The following is an 18,724-nucleotide window of genomic DNA, read 5'->3' on the forward strand; positions in this document are numbered from 1 at the left end:
AGCAGCCCTGGCAAGGGAACCCTCATGTGCCTGCCAGACCGCATGGGTGGGCAATGAGTGGGCTTCCCTATGGTTGGGCCTCAGAGGAGACAAAGAAGTCGGCCTCATGAAGGGACGCTACCAGCTGCTGGGAAGCCCCATCCAACCTCACCCTGTTCTTTCTTCCTCCTCCTCCCAGGGCTGGTGCTGAGCACCTGAGGGGAACCTCTGGGTCTTGAGGGGAGGCAGAAATGGAGCCAAAGGAAAAAGGCCCCACTAGCCCCCACTTCTGGCCACCCACTGGGACCAAGGAGGCACCCTGCATGCTGCAATCCTCATAGCCACTCTGTAAGACAGGGTCATCACACGTTACAAATGTGGAAACTGAGGCTGTGAGAGTTATGCAGCTTACTCGAGAACTGGTCACTGGGTGGCAGAGGCCAGAGGTCTGGGAGGAACTGCAGAGCCCACGTCCTGCTGTCTCTCCCACCTTCCCTTCCAGCCACCTCCCAGAGCTGGTGCTTAAGGAGTCCACACATTGCCATTCCTTAGACATAGCTTTGGGGGAAGGGAAAGAACCATGGGCAAGAAACATCCGTTTTTAATAAATAGTTTATTCATCCAGCAGTTTCAGCCCTGATACTGAAGCCTGTTGCGGTGTTTCTTATTTTTCTGGCTGGAGCCTGATTATGAGAACATGGCCTCACCACGGGGCCAGCGCTCAGATTCCTGCCCTGCCGATCATCCAGACATCAGAGGAAATGAGAGTATTGCTCAAATGAGGGAGACTGGAGCTTTATTAAGGAAACAAAAAATACCAGTAAGACTAGAGAGGGGTGGTTAATGTTTCTGGAGGCAGCTGTGGAATTTCCTGTTTGCTCCCCCTCTCCTGCCTGCCGCAGATGAGGACACACGGGGAAGACTCGCTGGAGAGGCTTCTCGCACTTAATAAGGCCCCCCGTCGGGGTGCTTCTGGAGCCTGCCTCCCAGGGAGCAGGCTGAGGAGCTGGCGGGAGGGCCGGTGGGCGGCGGCGCGGACGCTGCTCCCTTGTGGCCGGCAGGGGGCAGCCTGCAGCCACTGCGCCTCTCCCGCCGCCAAGAGCCGCGGCCGGGGTAACAGAAACGCCGGCTGCGCTGAAGTTCTTGTTAAACAGCCCCGCGTCGGGGCTGTGGTCACAGTAAAGCAAGGCGATCTTCGCACACAGCAAGTGCGAGGCTCTGGGCCCTGACGCAGGGCTCCCAAGCTCCCGGAATCGGCGTTCTGGCTGCAGGCCTGGTCTAGAGTCGCAGCTTCTGTGAGAAGCAACACTGAGGCGGGCCCGCCCGCCCTGGGGCTGCCCGACCCTCCTCTCTGCTCTCAGCCCCAGTCCCTACTTCGGGATCCTCCCAGGAGGCTGTGCCGGCTGCTCACTCCTCCTGACCTGAGGGACCGTGTGTCTGGGCCTGGTGTTTCTAGACGGTCCCCCCTACAGTCACTTGTTCTAATTTCTAGCACCTTCCCTCTTCAGGATAGAGGCCCAGCCAGCCAGAGCACAGGCTTTCTCCCTTCACCCTGGAGCTCTCAAGTAACAACCCCCTGAAGGCACATGGACCAAGCTGCTCCCCATCCCGCCACCCGAAACACCATCCCTGCCCCACCTCCCAGGTGACAGACTCCCTGGCGTGGCCATGCCCCAGCCCACCAGCCCCACGCTTGTCAGCTGGGCCTGACAGCTGCTGCTCTTGTTTTCTATTCATGAAAACTCAACCCTTCTCCCCGTTTCTGCCAGCACAACAGGGCAGAGTCTGGGCTATCACCCTGGCTTCTCCCCCTCCCTTTAAAGGAAGCCCACATTTTCCTGCGAGCCGAACTCCTCTGAAGAGTATGGCAGACCTTTGGAATCGTGTCAGGACGAGACTGAAAGTCAAGGCAAGTGTGAATTCAGCACCGCAGGCCTGGTGACCCTCCTGTGCCTCTGGAGTGGGCTGTCCTGGGACAGGCTGACCGGGAACAAGTCCCCGCCCGGGGCTTATCGCTCTGAGTCAGAGAAGGAAGAGGGCTTAGTCCATCTCCACACCAGCATGTCCTCTCCTGCAACGCGGTGGGACTCCGTCTGGATCCGGGATTCGTTGGAGGCCAGGAACTCCACAGCTCGGTCCCAGACACGCTTCATGCGCCTCCTGCAATGAGAGGGACGGGGCTCTGCCTGGCACTGCCGAGGTGAGCCAGCCTGTGGATGCCCCTCCTACAAAGGGCACACATTTCCAGGCTCTGGCATGGAATTTATGTAAGAGAGGAAAAGCTGGCAGGTACTAACATGACAACTGCAGAGGAGAAAAACGTCTTGGGCCATAGAGAAATGATTCCTCAACCTTCACTGATCCAAACACATTCAATTAAAGGGAGCTAAAGGGCCGAGGTGTCTGGAGCACCCCCAGGTCTCCAGGTGTGCAGGGCTGTGCTAGGCTAGCTGACTCTTGCTGGGACCTGTTGCCTGCGCAGCCCTTGCCAAGCCAGTTCCAGTACCCCGCCAACTGCATCTTGATGCTGCTCTGGGTGGGCTCATTGAAGAGTGAGCACTGGGCTGTTTCATCTAAGCTCCACAGCACTCCAGGGGATGGGATGAGCTAAGCATCAGACGGGGGAGGCCAAGAAGCTGGAGCTGCTCTAGGGAACCAGAGCCACAACGGAGGGCCCCTTCAGTGGCCAGAGTCCCTTCTCTGCTGGGTCTCTAGGGCCTTGCACCCCCCTGGACAGCCTTCCCCTCATCTCTTCTTCCCCCCTTCCAGACTGGACAAGAAGGTTCCAAAGCCATGGGGGAGGGTCACTTTGATCTTCTCCCTTTGTGAAGCATGGTATTGCACAGCCCCCAGCCTTTTCTCATCACTGCAGCCCACCTCCCCATGACACCACACGTGGAAAGACAGTGACTGTGAGTGTGTACGCATGGGAGCAGAAGGGGAGGACAAACGGAGGTGGCCAGTGAGTCAGGAGGCGGGGGGGGGGCTAGGGCTTCCCCAGGGGTCAGGACCTGTCACCAACCAAACCCCATGGGCCTATTCAGCAGCCCCAACTTGGCTGGTCTGGCCGAGGCCACACATTCCCTGGGGACTGAGCTCCAAGGTGCTGGGTCCCTGAGCAGGAAGCGGCCAGTGTTGAGTGGGCAGTGTCTCACTCCAGCCCCTCCTTCCCAGGCCAGTTCTTCTCATCTCCCTCAGTCTTTCCCAAGCAGGCCCTCATCTACAGGGCAGACCTGACTGGCTAGCCAATGTCTCCTGACGTGGGGAGCTTGGCCTGGACTGACTGGGTGGCTTGGGAGGTAAGTCAAGAGAGCAAACAGAGCATGGGCGTCTGGGGTTCACATGGCTCTGACCCTGAGGGCCGGCTACCTGAGTGGCAGCAGCTCTGGGTATCTATGCTAATGCACGAAGGCTTGGGTGGTAGCTCCGGCTGCAGGCAAGCTGCAGTGCCGTCTCATGCTCTTATTTAAGCAAATATGTGTGTGGAATATCATTTAAGCCCAAGGCATAATGGCTACCCTTGGATGATGCCCACGTGCTAGGCACTGACTTTTTTTTTTTTTTTTTTTTTGAGATGGAGTCTCACTGTGTCACCCAGGCTGGAGTGCAGTGGTGTGATCTCAGCTCACTGCAACTTCCGCCTCCCGGGTTCAAGTGATTCTCCTGACTCAGCCTCCCGAGTAGCTGGGACTACAGGTGACTGCCACCATGCCCGGCTAATTTTTGTATTTTTAGTAGAGACGGGGTTTCACCACATTGGCCAGGCTGGTCTCAAACTCCTGACCTTGTGATCTGCCCGCCTTGGTCTCCCATTTTTTTTTTTTTTTTTGAGACAGGGTCTCGCTCTGTCACCCGGGCTGGTGTGCAATGGCATGATCTCGGCTTACTGCAACCTCCACCTCTTGGGTTCAAGTGATTCTCATGCCTCAGCCTCCTGAGTAGCTGGGATTACAGGTGCATGCCACCATGCCCGGCTAATTTTTGTATTTTTAGTAAAGATGGGGTTTCACTATGTTGCCCAGGCTGGTCTCGAACTCCTGACCTGAGGTGGCCCACCCACCTTGGCCTCCCAAAGTACTGAGATTACAGGCATGAGCCACCGTGCCTGGCTACTAGGCAGTGACTTAATGAACTTTGAGGCCACCACCCTGATACCAACCCCCCTTCCCTTAGGGCTTGTCACTACCTAATATCACATCTTTTCCTTATGCATCTTGTCATCTGTCTCCTTCCTGAGAACAAATGCTCCAGCTGGACAGGGATTTTTGTTTCTTCCACTTCCTGCTGTCTCCCTGTGACCCAGTAGGGTGTCTGGCATGTAGTAGGTGCTCAATAAACATTTGTGGAGGAACTGAATGAATGAATGAATGAATGAATGATAGTCTCTTCGTCACAGCCCTGTGCAAGGCAGCGGGATCACCTGCATTTTAGGATAAGGAAACTGTGGCACAGGTTGACTGAGATGCTCATTGTCACGATACTCCTGCCAGGGCCAGGAATTGGGTGGGAGTTTGAGTACCCCAAGTCACCCTCCCTGGGAGGTAGAGGGCCTCACGCTGAAACCAACAGCAAGCGCTCCTCAGAGCAAGCACAGCCCATGCTGCTGTGAGTCTGCTCACTCTAAACTTCCTGCCTGCCACCTTTCCAGGGGTGAGGTGAGCATGACAGGCAACAAGCACCTTCATGTTTAAGATGGACCTTTTTTTTATTTTTTTAAGAGATAGGGTCTTGCTCTGTTGTCCAGGCTGATGTGCAGTGGCATAGTTATAGCTCACTGTTGCCTCGACCTCCTGGGCTCGAGTGATCCTCCTGCCTCAGCCTCCTGAGTAGCTGGGACTACAGGCATGTGTCACCATGCCCACTAATATCTATTTTTTGTAGAGATGGGGTTTTGCTATGTTGTCCAGGCTGGTCTTGAACTCATGGGCTCAAGCAATCCTCCCACTTTGGCCTCCCAAAATGCTGGGATTACAGGTGTGAGCCACTGTGCCTGACTTAAAGTGGACTGCTAACGGCTCTATTTTTCTGATTCCTCTTGGGTTGCAGATAGGGATGATGTTGACAGTAGAGCCTGGTGGCGGGAGCACGGAAATGCCACTAGCCATGGGACTCTTGAGCACATTCCTCTACTTCCCTGTGCCTCAGTTCCCTTATAGGTAAAATGGGGCCACTTCTGTTGTGTGCGTGAACCATGGTGAGGACCAAGTGAGTGAGTTTGCATCTGTGGAGAGCTCCAAGTAGTGCCCGGCTCCCAGGGAGCACTCAGCAAGGGTGAGCTCTCAGCATCACCCAGCAGATGACAGCATCTGGCCAGAAACCACAGCAAGTGTCTGCTAGGGAGGGACCACAACCAGAGCCAACACTGGGGGGGGCCCTGCTGGCTGTCTCCTGGGACTCTGCCCTCCCCCACCCTGGTTCTGTCAGGACCCCAGTGTACAACTCCAGCAGTCACAGCCCATGTGGAAGGTGCCCTGCAGCTGCACATGACAGTGGCCCTGCCACCCCTTCCCATGAAGCTATGTGCCCTGGAAGCTGACCCCATTCATGTTGTGAAACTTTGCTTTCAATTACATGTATATGCATGAGTGTACGCATGCGTGTGTGGGAACTGGACCATGATGTTGCAGGTAACAGGTGTTTTTGACTGCAGGTCATGGTTTAAAAAGTTTGAAAAACAATTTCCTCCTCCTTGCCAGTGACTGATTCATAAACAGACATGTAAGAGATTCTGGTCAATAAAGCCTCAAGGAGTGTGTCACTGGAGGCTACTGGGAACATGTTCTCTTGCTTATAAGACAACAATAGGCCTACTTTTCCCCTGCTGGCTGTGACAAGGCAGACAGTGCCCCAGCTGCTGTTGGCCACCATCTGCAACCATGAGGGACCCCAGTCTGTTGATAACATCCATGGAGGAGTGTGGGACCACGAGAATCACAAGAGCAATGGAACCGGAGACCTGACTGTTCTGTGCCTGGAGCCCATGCAGCTCTGAACTTCCACTTACAGAGACTGAGGAGATCCTTCACTACTTGTGCCCTGGGGGAGGGAGCTGCTATTACTTGGAGCCCAAGGCCTCCTAACTGGTATCACCACTGCCAGTGTTCTCTCTACAGAGGTGTGGGATTGTGCTTTCATATGTCTTTTCTAGCTCATCCTGCCATAAAGAGCCGAGCATGCTGGGGAGCAGCAGGAGTGGGAGCAGAGCCACTCTTGGCCCTGGGGTCTGCACTGCCCTCAGCTGACATCTGATGCAAGGCTCTGGGTTTCCTTCTGGGGAGCTCAGTGGGGTCGGACCCCATCTTACCTCACACCCAGCGCCCCAGCCAGGGACTCACCGGCTCTGTGGAGGGATCAAGCTGTCGCGCACGTGCAGGATGCCTACATATGGATAGCGCTCCATGTCCTGCTCCCAGTCCACGTAATGGTCCTGGACCACGTCTGCAGGAGAGAGCACACCATTTAGGGCAAGGACCCTCTGGCTGGCGTCGGCAACCCTTTATTCACCAGGGGGCCACGCACCTATAATCTTCTTCACCATCTCATACATGGCTTGTTCCTCCTCTTCTAACTTTCGCCACCGATATTTTAGGAGAATTAGGAGCCCCCACAAAAAAGCCAAGCCTGTGAGGGAACAAAACACTGTTAATCCCTCACACTTCATTTGGCAGTGGGTCTCACCATGGACAAGATGCTGTGATGGATGCTGTGGGGGATCCACCACATGGGTTTGGGTACCTACTATGTGTCAGGCTCAGGGCCAGCATGCGAGAAACAAAAGATACAGAAATGCAGAGGGACGACAGATTATTAAGTGATCATCTTCCTCCCACCGGCTGTCACCACAGCGGCATCCCCAGCCGTCCAGATCTCGGCTCCTCCCAACCTCATTCTGGGGCTTTCATCTCCTCCCTTGTGAACCAGAACACAGTGTTTCATACATATATACATGCCGGGGCCCTTTGTATTCCGAGATGCTGCTGCCGATAATGATTTCTGTGCCTGATGGCACAGGGGAGGGAGCTGTGTGCACACTGAGGCGGTCTGTGATTTGTAGCTCCAACTATCTCTGGAAAGCCGTGGTTTCTGTGACTTGGCCTTTCGCCTTCAGAGACGCCCTGAGGTCTCTGCTCAAAGGCGGCCCCCGATGTCAGGGGATAAGACTGGTGCCCTCCTTTCAGTGCAGCACCCTGAGTCCTTCTTGCTTTCATCAGGTATCTGTAGCTCTCCAGGAGATGTTTATATTTTTCAGGGAGTAAAAGTAGGCCAAGCCCCTGCTGTGCCTCCTGCTCGAAGCTGGTCCACACTGGGATCCCTGCAGAGCCCAGAAGGGGTGGGGCCCAGCTCCTGCTCAGGCCAGGCTCCCGCTCAGGAAATCTGACAGTCCCCTGCCCTGAATCAAGGACATTTTCTAGTTATCCTCACGGATTCCTGCCACCAATCTCCAAAGGTAAATACAACCCAGGGCAGAGGCTGACTTGTTCATCTCCTCTGTTTTATGAGACAGACCTCAGGTTCACTAGACAGAAATGAACCCTCCGGGCCTGGAATTTCTATAGCTCATCATTCATGCCTAGGAGTATGCTTGACTGCACAGAAGGGGAGGGAAGGCGGCCGAGGACTTACACCAGAAGAAGATGAGCACGTTGGTGACAGCAGTGAGCAAGGCCCGGCTCAGGCGGCAGCCAACACCCATGCGGGGGTGGGCAGATTCCAGGCAGACCACCTTGTCCACAGTCGTCACCAATTCAGACTGGTCTTCTCCTTTCAACCTGAAACAGGACACAGGGCTCTGAACATGTTGGAAAGCTCCAAGGAGAGGCAGTGCAAGCCCCACTTCAAACAGGAGGAAGCGAAGGAAAGTGGGGACGCAAGGCCTCTACTTGCTTATAGAATAGGCTTGGTATCCTGGCTGCATTCTTTCCAGAAATTTCCCACATTGGCTACTTAGAATGAATAAAGCTTTAAAGACGGCAGCAGGCTTGAACCCCTACCGCTAAAGCAACGTCCCCCTGTCAGGTCTTTGACAGCCTCTCTCAGCATGCAGGAGATTAAACTGTAAATTGGATTCCCACCTCCCAGCATAGAGAAATGGAAATGTTTACTGAATCACTAGCTTTGCAATTGCATGGCAAGAACTGAAAGACAGAATCTGGGAGGTTGCACTTTTCCTCGGTGACAAGGAGGCACATAAGCTGTTTAAGTGTAAAGATCATGGGGCATCCATGAGGCTCATGGGGAATCCGTGAGGCTCATGGGGAATGAAAACCACCAGGCTCTCCGAGGCCAGACCCCAGCCACGGCGCCTCCACCATGGTCTCTGGCCAGGAGGTGTCAGGACCTGCAGAGGTGGGGACACCAGAGCCTTCTTCCAGCTAGGTGACCCAGGGCGAGAATATCATGCTCTTGAGGCTGCATGCTGGAATGGCTGGCATCCCAAGTGTCCTGATTTCTCAGGACCCACTTTCAATATGGTCATCCTGAGCGGCTCTGCCACCCTCCAGGCTGCCTTCCCCAACATGAAAAGGTGAGTGTCATCATTCTTCTGTGTTAGCAGCTTCAGTGAGCGCTGCTGCTGAGGATAAAATCCGTATTCTCCTCCGCCTTTTCTAACACAGGAAAATTGCTCAGCTACTCAGGGCAGCTTTTTTTTTTTTTTAAGCCAACAAATTTTAATCGTGCCATGCATCCAGTTATCCAGCTTGAGGTGGAGCTGCCCGAGGGGCTTCTGCTGGATGCAGTGCTGATGGAATTAGTAATTTGGGTGGATTAGAGAGGAAAAGAACAAAACTCTAGAGACGTTTTAATATCAAGAGCTATAACCTGAACAGAGACCCCCACAAACACCGAGAGTGGGAAGTGGGGAAGTGATGCTGCTCTGCCAGCAGGGGACAGGTCTCTCAAGGCTGCCTGGCTGTTGGCTGACACGCCCCTCCCCCTGGGCTGAGCCGCCAGATACAGCCTTTCAGCCTCATGAAAGGGTTTGCTACCTTTTCTAACAGTGCTCACCAGTGATAAAAATGAGGCAGAAACTGCCTGGTCAGAATAAAATCCAGTATTTCCTTATGCGATTTCCATAGTAAGTAAAACCAACATACAGAAAGAATAATTTCATCTACAAATAAAAACTAGCTCCCGAGGAGGGGAAGTGCAGAAAAATGCCTTCCCCAACAAACCATGTGGTGTTGTTGATGAATGAGAAAGGCACAGACTGAGTTACCTGAGACAGGATTTAGCTGGAACACCAGGCTAACATCCTAACACCTGGATTTTGTGTCTCATCTTGAAGCTGCTCCTTACACTGCATTCCAAATGCTTCTTGCTTTTGTTGCCCCACTTCCATCCTAACCCACATGATTCTGCTGGGAGACCCAGCCTCCAGCTTCAGACCTGAGACAGCTCTGTTGGAGCACGGGTGTTAGCTGACGAGCGAGGACAGTGGTTGCAGGCACCCATGCTGCGTCGCCACCCTGCCCACACTCACCAGATGCCCACGTCCTTGTTACTGCTCAGTATCCAGGTCAGTGCGGCTTCAAACTTGGCGGAGGAGCTGCTGGTCACATTCTGTGGGAGGGCGCGGGAGAAGGTTAGTTCGGCGTCTGGGCGGAGCAGCTGGAACATTATTCTGCTGCTGGATTAAGGAAGCCCTCTCCCGTGTCCTCCACAGCCCCAAAACCCTGTTCTGCTAAAAGCACAGCAAAGTGGCAGGAAGGAAATCGGGGGTTGATGAAAGCCAAGGAAGAGGCTATAACCAGAGGAGGTGATGCGGAAGCACAAGCAGGAAAACAGTGCGGGTCTGAGGCGGCCAAAAGAATATGATTCTCTCGAGGATGGAAGCATCAGGCCAGAGAGCTGGCAGCTCATCTTAGGGTAAAGCGAATAACAGCGTTGTGGCTGGGGGTGGGTGAGCCCAGTGGCCGGTGCAAGTGGTCTGGCCTCAGGCAAGTCCCTGACCCTCTCCAGGCCTCAGTTTCTTCATCTGTGAAATGCAAATGGAACCAGATGACCCCTAAGTTACTGGACAGGCAGGCGACCTGGAATACCAGCTCCATAGTTCTATAATCTACCATCCTGAGGCCACACAGGAAATCAGACGGCCCCTGGGCAGTCTGAATGGTAATCATACGGGGGAGAAGGGACAGCATGTTTCTCCTGAAAGCCGAAGGCAAGACGAGCAAAGTGAACCAAGGGAGAAGCAGGTAACAGGCACACCTACAGTGCAGCAGTCAGGAGTGAGCCGCCCCACTGCACATGGCGGCCTGGCTCTGGGGCAGTCACTACCATGGCTGCCTTAACTGAAGGTAGTCTAGCACAAAAAGCCATAAACCAAACCTTAACTTAAGGTAGCCTAGTACAAAAGCCACAAAGCAAACAAAAAACAAAAACCCCAACAGGGCTTGAAAGACCAATAGGAAAGCACCAGGCCCTCCCAGGAATGTATAAGCACTGAAGCCTACTTACGGCTATATATTCTTGGGCTTCCATAACAGGAATGCATTTGCTTTTTAGATTCTCTGGATTTCCACACTCAAAATTACCTAGGAGAAAAAAAACCACACATGCTCAAACACAAAGGAAAAATCACTCTGAAACAGACTAAAAAATGCAGCAAGAATCAAGCCATCAGCTCTAATAAGGAGCATGTTGCCCAGCGGCTCCTGGCTTCTGTGGGGCATCTTCACTCTGCAGCAAGATCAAAAGCCACTTAGCTTGGATCGATTCCAGATCATTAAAACCTGACCTGCAAAGCAGTGTGGCATTTTGCATTAAATGACTAAAAAGCTGCCCAATAGCAAGGTCTCTTTGCAATTGATCCCTAAAAGAATCAGACAGATAGCTTCGGAAGGTACCGGAATGGCACTATAAATAAACACAGCCTGAGAAAAAAGAAAGGCAGGGAGGCCATGGGCACCACGGGGATTCTGACTCATGACACAGGCAGGCGACCTGGAATGCCAGGTCTATTGTCTTGAGGGGCCCCTTGGAGGAAGAGGATGTCTGTGTGCTGGGCAGTGGGGCCTCAGCACAGCACGCCAAGGGGCAGCTCCCCCGAGTGGCTTTGGAGGCCTGCTCCCATAGGATGGAGCTGGCAGCCTCCCACTTAGTCCTGCCCAACCTCCCCGGTCCAGCCCAGGGGCCATCTCCCCTGGGAAGCCCTCAGCCCCTGGGGGCCTTTTGTTTGATGAAATGGCCCCAGATTTGGTGACCTGCCATAGCCCTTGGTCCTCGCTCCTGTGCTGTGGTTTGCCTGACTCCCCGAGAGCAGGGAGGGTGCAGGGCCACGCACGCATACACTATTTAACACGTGTGCGTGGCCTGACTGCCCTGACCCAGCACAGCCTGGGGGACTTCGGGTGGCCAGTGAGTGTGTTTCTGCATGCTGGGGAAGGGAGCAGCTGAAGGTCATATTTTAAAACTTTGAAACTGAACTGAAGCCTGTCGCCTTCCCCTAACACAGCCAGATCCTCCTACTTCAAAGTTGATCTTGACCCCAGGGGTCCCCTGAGACACAGGTGGCTTCTAGCATCCTCCTTTTCCCACTAGGACTCTTCCTGCCCTTGCCAGGCCTGCCTGGACCACGTAGATGGCCTCTCGATTCGGTTCCTCCTCTCCCTTTCCCAATCCAGTTGTTTTGTCAATAACACTTGAAAATGATTCTGCTTAACTGTGCTACTCAAGCTGCTGCCGCATTCACCTTCCTGGCACCTGGCTCTCAGCATGATACTCCCTTGCTCAAAGCCTCTCTGGCCCTCACTGCCTGCCAGATCAAGCTCTGGTGGCCTGGCATCCAAGGCCATCTATGGTAGGGCCCAACCAACACTTCCAAACTTCATTCTCTCATCTTCCCCTTCCTCCATGAAGGTGCTGCTTCCCACTCGAGATGTAATTTCCTGCCGCTTTGCCTTGTCCTTCCCCACATACATGTAACCAGTCTTACCTGGGCTTCAGGGCCTGGCACAGATGCTACCTCCTGTGACGCTCTCCTGACTGCTCCAGCTAAAAGGCATTGTGCCTCCCAGAACTTCTGGCCTCTTGGTTCTTGTCTAATCACATTTTATATCACCCAGTGGTCAGGGAGGTAGGTGGCCTGTCTCTTCCAGTAGACCCCAAGCCGGGGTTGGGCCCTGCAGGCAGGACCTGGAGCTGAGTCATCTCACTGCAAGGGCCTGCACAGTGCCCAGCCCACAGCGGATCCCTAACAGGAGAGGCATGGAAGGGGTTGAGGACTACTAGGGAGCCTCTGTGAGGCACACTCCTGTCTCAATGAGATATGTACCTTCAAGGCGGCCCCCCAGGCTTGTCGGAGGGCAACAGGTGCCAGGGCCCTTGAGGGCATAAGGCAAGACCACATATGGAGGGTAGGATGGAGGAGAAATATCTACTAGGACCCAATTTCGAGCAGTGCTTCTCAACTTTAGGGTGCACTCAAATCCCCTGGGGATCTTAAGATACAGACTCTGATTCACTGGGTTTGGCATGAGACCTGAGATTCTGAATTTCTAGTGAGCTCCCACGTGATGCAGATGCTATGGGTCCTTGGACCACATTTGAGACACAAAGGTTTGGAACACTCTCTTAGGTCAGAATTGACATCCCAAGCACCTGGGCCGTACAGAGGAATTCCTATGATGCTGTGAGCAGGAGCCCCAGTACCTGTTTCTCCTCCAAGTGCTCATGGATGCCTCCCCTACCATCTCATCTCTCACTTTCAAGAGGGAGGAGGCAGAAGAGCTGATGCTCATGAGATTGACCCTGAGGACTGAGGGCCCAGGAGAAGTCCACCCGACCCTAATTTCCCAGTGAAACCTTAGACAAGGGTTGACCTCACAATCCTAAGACCTGTCCTCTGACCCCACAGGTAAGAGGCGCCTCTTGAATATCCCTTAAGATAGAACTGCTCTGTCTGGTTCTTGTGTCCAGCGCATTTAACACAAGGCGCACATGCTGATATTCACCTATGTCAACTGCAAGTGATTTTGAGAGCCTCCTGGATGCCAGGCGTCGGGCAGGACATAATAATGCAGGTGGTATCTCTGGCCTCAAGGAATAACTTCACCAAATAAAACAGTAGGGGATGCATCTTCTGGATGCATTTTCAGGGGCATTTCACAGAGGTGCTGAGAATGCCCTCCTTTAGAGGACAGCACTTGACTCTCATTTGTAGAGAACAGACAGACCCAAGAGCCCTTGGTCAGACAGGGAGATGAAGACCCTGAGAGGATCAGGGACTTTGTCCGAGGTCCCACAGCCACATGGTGATCAGGACCAGATGTGACACCAGGGCCCACTACACAGACTATCTGCTACTTGCACAGGCAAGAGGCCTCTCCCGGGCCCAGCCAACCACCTGGTTCAGAGGGTCCCTCTAGGGTGAAGGACACAGATCCTGACAACACCTGGGGCTTGGCCCCTTCCCATGCCAACAGAGACCCCCAAAGCATTAGGTAGTGGGCATCCCCAAGAAGGAAGAACAGCTGCAGGAAGGCCTGTTCACATGCCAGGACCTCCCTTAAAGAGGAGCAAGAATCAAATATGTTTTGTTCAAACACAAGGCTTATAAAAGATGTGCCTGAGTGAGGAGGCGAGAAGGTGAGACTCGGCTTCTGAATATGCCTTCTGAGAGACAACCAGGGAGTGTCTCGCTGGCCAGCAGCAGTGTAACTAAGCCTGATGAACCGGGTCAGCCGCCCATAGCTCTCACAAGAGGAATCTCAGGACTTACGTGACTTACTCACCAGCTTGGATGGCCAGGAAATTGTAGAGTTCATGCAGCAGCTCCAGCAAGGCTGCCTTCTGCTTGGCCTGACAGAACTGGAAAGGCACGGGACAAGTGGTCAGCAAGGAGGGGTGGGTGGGAGGGGTCCGTCTGTCCATCTTTACTTCTCCAGCCACACTGTCAAATACTAAACAGCAAGGAATATCTCATACTTTTACAAAATAGAAAAAAATTCTGCCAAGTGCTGGGCCTAGGGAGAGAGTTGATAAATATTGGGTTAACTGCCTGAGAAAGACCCTGGAGAAGCAGAGGCAAAGCTGAAAGCAGACACTGTAACCAAGGGGCTGCATCCCAGAGGCTCCTGGCTCCTGCCTTTCCCTTGGAATGACGGCCATTAAGAGGGCTGAGCAGAGGCGACGTGGTCGGGGGATGATGCAGTCGCTCAGCTTCCTCAGAGGAAGAGCAACTGCTGTCGGAGTTTGCAGAGATGGGAGAGCTGGAAGAGCTAGGAGAGCTTGCAGACAGGGCAGAATGTCAGCAGCTGCCATCTCGTCTCCCGTTAGGTGGAATCTCAGAGCCCTCATCTGAGTAAGGATTGTGGTAGGATTCAGTGCGAACTCACACAAACCACTCAGCAGAGGCTGCTACCACCTAAAGGAAACAGGAGGACAGACGGTACCAGACAACGAGACGGCCTGATTAAGACAACACACCCACTCCCAGCCTGTCCCCACGTTTTCAGCAGCACAAAGGCAGAAAGAAAAACACAAAGTGTCACCGTCTTCAACGACCGAAAAGGGAAAGAACATGAATCTGAAATTCAAATGCCCGTCTGTGATCTCGGTAAGCCTGGAGCCATGCAAAGAATAAGACTTTCAGCAAGAGCCTCACCAAAGCCAAGAAACACGTCCCCACCTGCTTGTTCCTGTGTCCACCCTCCAGAAAGGCCAAGGGTGCCCCATGAAATCTTAGCTCCACAAAGCCTGCATTGAGATGGCCCAGCCCCTGCTTTCTGATGCTCTGATGAAGGTCTGAATGGTTACAAATAGGGATATCTGCGTCTGAAGCCCTCGCTGGCAGGTGCTGAATGCCGTCTGCCCACGGAGCGCATCTGTAGCTAGGACCTGGAGGGTACCTGTCTGGGCTCACTCAAGTGGAGCCTGAGTGTGTCCAGATCAGAGAAGGCCAGGGAACAAATGTGCCATTCACTTGTGGGTCTGATTCATTTAGAGATGTGAAGGACCAAGAAATAGAAACCATGGAACTTTTTTCTAATTAAAAGACAAAACTAACAGCACTGAGAAGTCTTACAGAAAGTTATTTTTTCCTGTTTTTGTTTTAAGTCTTCAAATTCCAGTTTCCCCTCTGGCTGCCTGTGTTTCTGGGCCACTTCCTCTCATCATCAACTACAGTTTTTATGATAGAAGGCAGATTAAACTTACTATGAATCTGTTTTTACAAAACAATTGGGAAGCAAAGATATTTGGTGGATGAATCCAATAAATGGATGTAATAAAACACCCCCAACTATGACACACCCGAAGCCAAAGAGAAATAAAAGCCGTTATCTGCACCAGGATGCCCCCTCATTTACATGAGTAAGACAGTCAATGCAGGGCTGGCCAGAGGACCATGCGTCATTTTCTTTCCCAGCCCCTGGGCTACTAGAGATGTTAACTAAGGACTTGGGAGGCCAGGCATTGCACACTTAATTAGACTACTAAGTCATGCCCTCTGGCAGCACAAGACTCCTCCTGGTACAATTTAAGACCTGAAAATTTACTGCCCCATATCTTCTCCAGACTGTCACCAGAAGCAGCATCCCAGCTCCTTGATAATGCTGCTTTCATGATTCATAAATGGATGGGGCTGCTCGCCATATTAGAGCTTCATAAAACAAATCTAAATGTAGACTAAGAGGGCTAATTCCACTTAAGATGTGTTCCAAACAAACTCCCTATGTTTCAAATCAGAACAGCATTTTCAGAGCCACAGCTGCACCACTGGAGACAGAGAATGTGGAATTGAGAACTTGGCCTCCTGATGCTTAGAAACGCCGGCCCTTCCTCCCAGTGCCAGGGAGCTTGAGGGTCCTTCAACAACAACCTACTGCATCCCCCTAGATTGACTCAGGCAGATCAAAGTCCCCGATGCTACATTTGATGGGAAAGTGTCCATAACAAGCCCAGGGTTGGATTTTGGGAGGTCAATTCTATTTCAAGTATTCCTTCACTGCCACAATTGAGCCTGACAAGAACATCACAGAACACAATGTGACTCTGGTACATTACAGGAAGCACTCCCTGAAAATGATCCTATTCTTTTTCTGGGGAAGTTTACCTCCTGATGGAGGCTAATATCCTCAGGAAGAATAATAAAAACCAGAGAAACTCAAACTCACCTCATCTGTTTTTCTCTCACAGTCCACTGGCAATAACTTCACTGAGACCAAGAAAAGAAACACAGAGGAAATTAAGTGTGGGTTGAGAAAGGAATACAAAAAGAGACTACTCACAACATTTGGAGGGAGTAAAGCATTACCAAGCCAAGGGTGGGGATTAGAAAGATGTCATCTAAGGAAGGCACTTTTAAAATGCAGACAGCAAAATGTAAGGGTATCCAAATCCTGGATTAGGAATTACGATAGCTGGGTCCTTGTCCCAGCTGAAAATGATTAGCTCAAGTTTCTTGGGCAACTCAACCACTCTGAACCTCTGTCTCCTCGTCTGTAAAACGGGATCAAATGGGCCTTCCCTGCTTAACTCAGGGAGTTAGGCCCAAACAAAACAAAATATAGGAGTTTTGTAAACAATGATATGTTAAACAGAGATTAACACCGTAATGGGAGGGGAAGTCCAGGTAAATACCAGCATACATTCTAGCGCTGTTGTCTTAAAGCATCTCAGCAGTGAGTACCAGTGTGATACTGTTTGACATCACCAGTGTAGTTATAGTACCATGACACTCCCAGGTCTCCTTAATTTCTCTAGCAGGTCGACAAACTATTCACATAGTTGATAAATGCTCTCATAGTGGGGAAATCATTTGGGTGTTTGCACACGAGTCTGTTAATACCCTTGCCCACAGACTTGTACACTCCCAAACATCCATCTGCCACACCAGCTAAGACATACTTTAGCTTTTTCCTGTATTTTGGCAGTTCCTGCTAGGCATGAAAGGATGTGGCCTTGGCTGGAAGCTGGGAACAGTATTAGTCACATTCGTGCTTTGTAAAGAGTATTAAAAGTTGGTGAACTACAGTGGCCCTTTATACCTAAATGTATAATGAAATGATCTCTATGTTTCCTTTCAGAAAACACACAATCCTCAGCTATTCCGGATACATACTGTATCCTGCAGACCTCTCATTGGCATATCTAACCATGTAACTTAAATGTGGCCAGAAGGATGGCTGTGAGCATCCTTGAGTCGTAGTCTCTCTCTTAACACACTCCATGAGGGTGCTACAAGCAATGATAAGGGCCTCCAGTTGCGATCAGTTTAACCTGTCTGGCAAGCAAGGCTGGTAGATTCTCCTGTTGACAAAGCGGCGGCCCTGTGATTCAAAGAAGTGGAGAGTGGACTTTTTGGTGCTACAAAGGTGGGACCCCCAACCAGATCCTATCTGTGGGCCACTGAAATCTGGAGTGCCTTCAAACAGGCACTAAATGTGTAAGCCAGAGGTCAAAAGGGAAGAACCCAAACGGATGGGGTGAATCTGTTAGAGGGGGGTGTGGCTTCCTCTCCAGGGAGAAAACCAGAGGTTGGAGGAGCAGTGACTACAGCTTGTGATTGAAAGGGAGACGTTAGAAGGGAGGGCTGGGGCAGAAAAGGAGAACAGGAGAAAGTGAAGGCAGAAATTATTGCAGATGCAGGAGCCTTGGCCCTCTCTTCCCACAGCTGGAAGAAGGCAGGCCTGGAAATGAGAAGACAGTCAGAGGCAGCTGACAAGGCCGGAAGTGCGCGGCCTGGCGCCGACAGGAACGGGGGGTCCTCCGGCGGACACACGCGCGCCCAGGGCCCTCCCCTGCGCCGGCCCAGGACGTACTGTTGTCCTCCGCCTCCTGCGGCGCTGAGGGCTTGCCCATCTTCACCCAAAGGATGCCCAGGAAGACGAGCAGTAGCCCTAGGCTGGCCCAGAGCAGAAGCCGAGAGAGCCAGCGCTCCAGCCGGCGCCCCACCTCAGGCCGGGCCCTCGCCGCGCCAGCAGGGCCCGCTCGAGTCGCCCGCAGGCCCGGGCGCGGGTCGGGACCGAGGAGGGAGGAAGGCAGCCGCGCCGGGGCGGGAGACGCTGCCCACCAGCGGCGGGCCGCGAGACCCGGGCCCTGCGTGGCCCTGTCGGGCGTCCGGGCGTCCTCGTCCTCCTCGGAGCTGCCCCGGACCGAGGCGCGGCGCCTGAGTTGCGCCGGGCGGGCAGGATAGGCGAGGCCGCGGCTCCCTACCCAGGAAGCCGCGGAGGGCCGGATATCACCGTAGGCCCCAGGGGTCGCGTAGGCCGAGCCCGAGGCCGGCTGGGAGAGCCAGGGCTCCGCCCGCGGAGAGGCCGCGGCGGGCCGGGCGCGCAGCGGCGCATCCTCGCGTAACCGGGCCTCTTCCCGTAACCGCTCCTCGCCCCGCGGCCGGGCCTCCTCCCGCAGCCGCTCCTCGTCGCGCAGCCGGGCCTCGCCCCGCAGGCGGCGCAGCTTGTTGCGGTAGACATCCCGGGTGGTGTCGGTGATGGGTCCTGGCTGGAAGCCCAGGGCCTGCAGCTCCCGCCGCAGTTCCAGGTCCGACAGGCCGGCCATGGCCAGGACGCCGCCCCCCGCCCGCCCCTGGCGCGCACCGCACCCGGAACTGCTCCCTCCCGCAGGCGCGGCGGAGCGGGCGGGGCCACGCGCCATGATGGGAAGGTCGGTCGCCATGTTGGGAAGGTCTGCACTTGGCCTTTGGTCGGCCATGATGAGGCGGTCTGACGTGGCTCTTAGAGCCGCCATGGTGGGAAGGTCCAAGGGGGATTAAATTTTTTGTTTTGTTTTGTTTTGTTTTGTTTTT

The 18,724-nt window shown here is 53.4% G+C and overlaps 1 protein-coding gene across 6 annotated transcripts, besides 11 other annotated features; it reads right to left on the reverse strand.

The window, feature by feature from the left end:
• LEMD2 (LEM domain nuclear envelope protein 2) lies at positions 574 to 18,491 on the reverse strand. 6 transcript variants are annotated; one of them, NM_001348710.2, is made up of 9 exons: positions 18,136 to 18,491; positions 16,095 to 16,130; positions 13,713 to 13,788; positions 10,438 to 10,514; positions 9,461 to 9,540; positions 7,603 to 7,748; positions 6,499 to 6,600; positions 6,315 to 6,417; positions 574 to 2,139 (listed from the first exon to the last, which is right to left on the reverse strand). In NM_001348710.2, the coding sequence occupies exons 1-9, from the start codon at positions 18,475 to 18,477 to the stop codon at positions 1,989 to 1,991; spliced, it is 1,113 nt and encodes a 370-aa protein (NP_001335639.1). In that variant the 5' UTR covers positions 18,478 to 18,491; the 3' UTR covers positions 574 to 1,988. The 6 variants fall into 6 exon arrangements, with proteins under 6 accessions (NP_001335639.1, NP_001335638.1, NP_851853.1 ...); NM_001348709.2 differs by having other exon boundaries at positions 16,095 to 16,135; NM_181336.4 differs by having other exon boundaries at positions 16,095 to 16,135; positions 17,742 to 18,491.
• Positions 949 to 998: a silencer, noted in NCBI's record as "silent region_17054". NCBI's record gives its function as "represses an Ori minimal core promoter by ATAC-STARR-seq in GM12878 lymphoblastoid cells {active_cell/tissue: GM12878}" and the evidence as "EXISTENCE:reporter gene assay evidence [ECO:0000049][PMID:35858748]".
• Positions 1,019 to 1,088: a silencer, noted in NCBI's record as "silent region_17055". NCBI's record gives its function as "represses an Ori minimal core promoter by ATAC-STARR-seq in GM12878 lymphoblastoid cells {active_cell/tissue: GM12878}" and the evidence as "EXISTENCE:reporter gene assay evidence [ECO:0000049][PMID:35858748]".
• Positions 2,206 to 2,904: an enhancer, noted in NCBI's record as "H3K4me1 hESC enhancer chr6:33740622-33741320 (GRCh37/hg19 assembly coordinates)". NCBI's record gives its function as "activates a minimal SCP1, AML or CMV promoter by ChIP-STARR-seq in primed H9 embryonic stem cells {active_cell/tissue: H9 hESC(primed)}" and the evidence as "EXISTENCE:reporter gene assay evidence [ECO:0000049][PMID:30033119]".
• Positions 8,960 to 9,900: an enhancer, noted in NCBI's record as "H3K27ac-H3K4me1 hESC enhancer chr6:33747376-33748316 (GRCh37/hg19 assembly coordinates)". NCBI's record gives its function as "activates a minimal SCP1, AML or CMV promoter by ChIP-STARR-seq in naive H9 embryonic stem cells {active_cell/tissue: H9 hESC(naive)}" and the evidence as "EXISTENCE:reporter gene assay evidence [ECO:0000049][PMID:30033119]".
• Positions 9,901 to 10,840: an enhancer, noted in NCBI's record as "OCT4-NANOG-H3K27ac-H3K4me1 hESC enhancer chr6:33748317-33749256 (GRCh37/hg19 assembly coordinates)". NCBI's record gives its function as "activates a minimal SCP1, AML or CMV promoter by ChIP-STARR-seq in primed H9 embryonic stem cells {active_cell/tissue: H9 hESC(primed)}" and the evidence as "EXISTENCE:reporter gene assay evidence [ECO:0000049][PMID:30033119]".
• Positions 11,781 to 12,719: an enhancer, noted in NCBI's record as "H3K27ac-H3K4me1 hESC enhancer chr6:33750197-33751135 (GRCh37/hg19 assembly coordinates)". NCBI's record gives its function as "activates a minimal SCP1, AML or CMV promoter by ChIP-STARR-seq in primed H9 embryonic stem cells {active_cell/tissue: H9 hESC(primed)}" and the evidence as "EXISTENCE:reporter gene assay evidence [ECO:0000049][PMID:30033119]".
• Positions 17,455 to 18,004: an enhancer, noted in NCBI's record as "H3K27ac hESC enhancer chr6:33755871-33756420 (GRCh37/hg19 assembly coordinates)". NCBI's record gives its function as "activates a minimal SCP1, AML or CMV promoter by ChIP-STARR-seq in primed H9 embryonic stem cells {active_cell/tissue: H9 hESC(primed)}" and the evidence as "EXISTENCE:reporter gene assay evidence [ECO:0000049][PMID:30033119]".
• Positions 17,455 to 18,106: a biological region, named in NCBI's record as "H3K27ac hESC enhancer GRCh37_chr6:33755871-33756420".
• Positions 17,657 to 18,106: a silencer, noted in NCBI's record as "silent region_17056". NCBI's record gives its function as "represses an Ori minimal core promoter by ATAC-STARR-seq in GM12878 lymphoblastoid cells {active_cell/tissue: GM12878}" and the evidence as "EXISTENCE:reporter gene assay evidence [ECO:0000049][PMID:35858748]".
• Positions 18,147 to 18,526: a silencer, noted in NCBI's record as "silent region_17057". NCBI's record gives its function as "represses an Ori minimal core promoter by ATAC-STARR-seq in GM12878 lymphoblastoid cells {active_cell/tissue: GM12878}" and the evidence as "EXISTENCE:reporter gene assay evidence [ECO:0000049][PMID:35858748]".
• Positions 18,617 to 18,706: an enhancer, noted in NCBI's record as "active region_24369". NCBI's record gives its function as "activates an Ori minimal core promoter by ATAC-STARR-seq in GM12878 lymphoblastoid cells {active_cell/tissue: GM12878}" and the evidence as "EXISTENCE:reporter gene assay evidence [ECO:0000049][PMID:35858748]".

Source organism: Homo sapiens, chromosome 6 (genome assembly GCF_000001405.40).
Source record: "Homo sapiens chromosome 6, GRCh38.p14 Primary Assembly".
Classification (NCBI taxonomy): domain Eukaryota; kingdom Metazoa; phylum Chordata; class Mammalia; order Primates; family Hominidae; genus Homo; species Homo sapiens.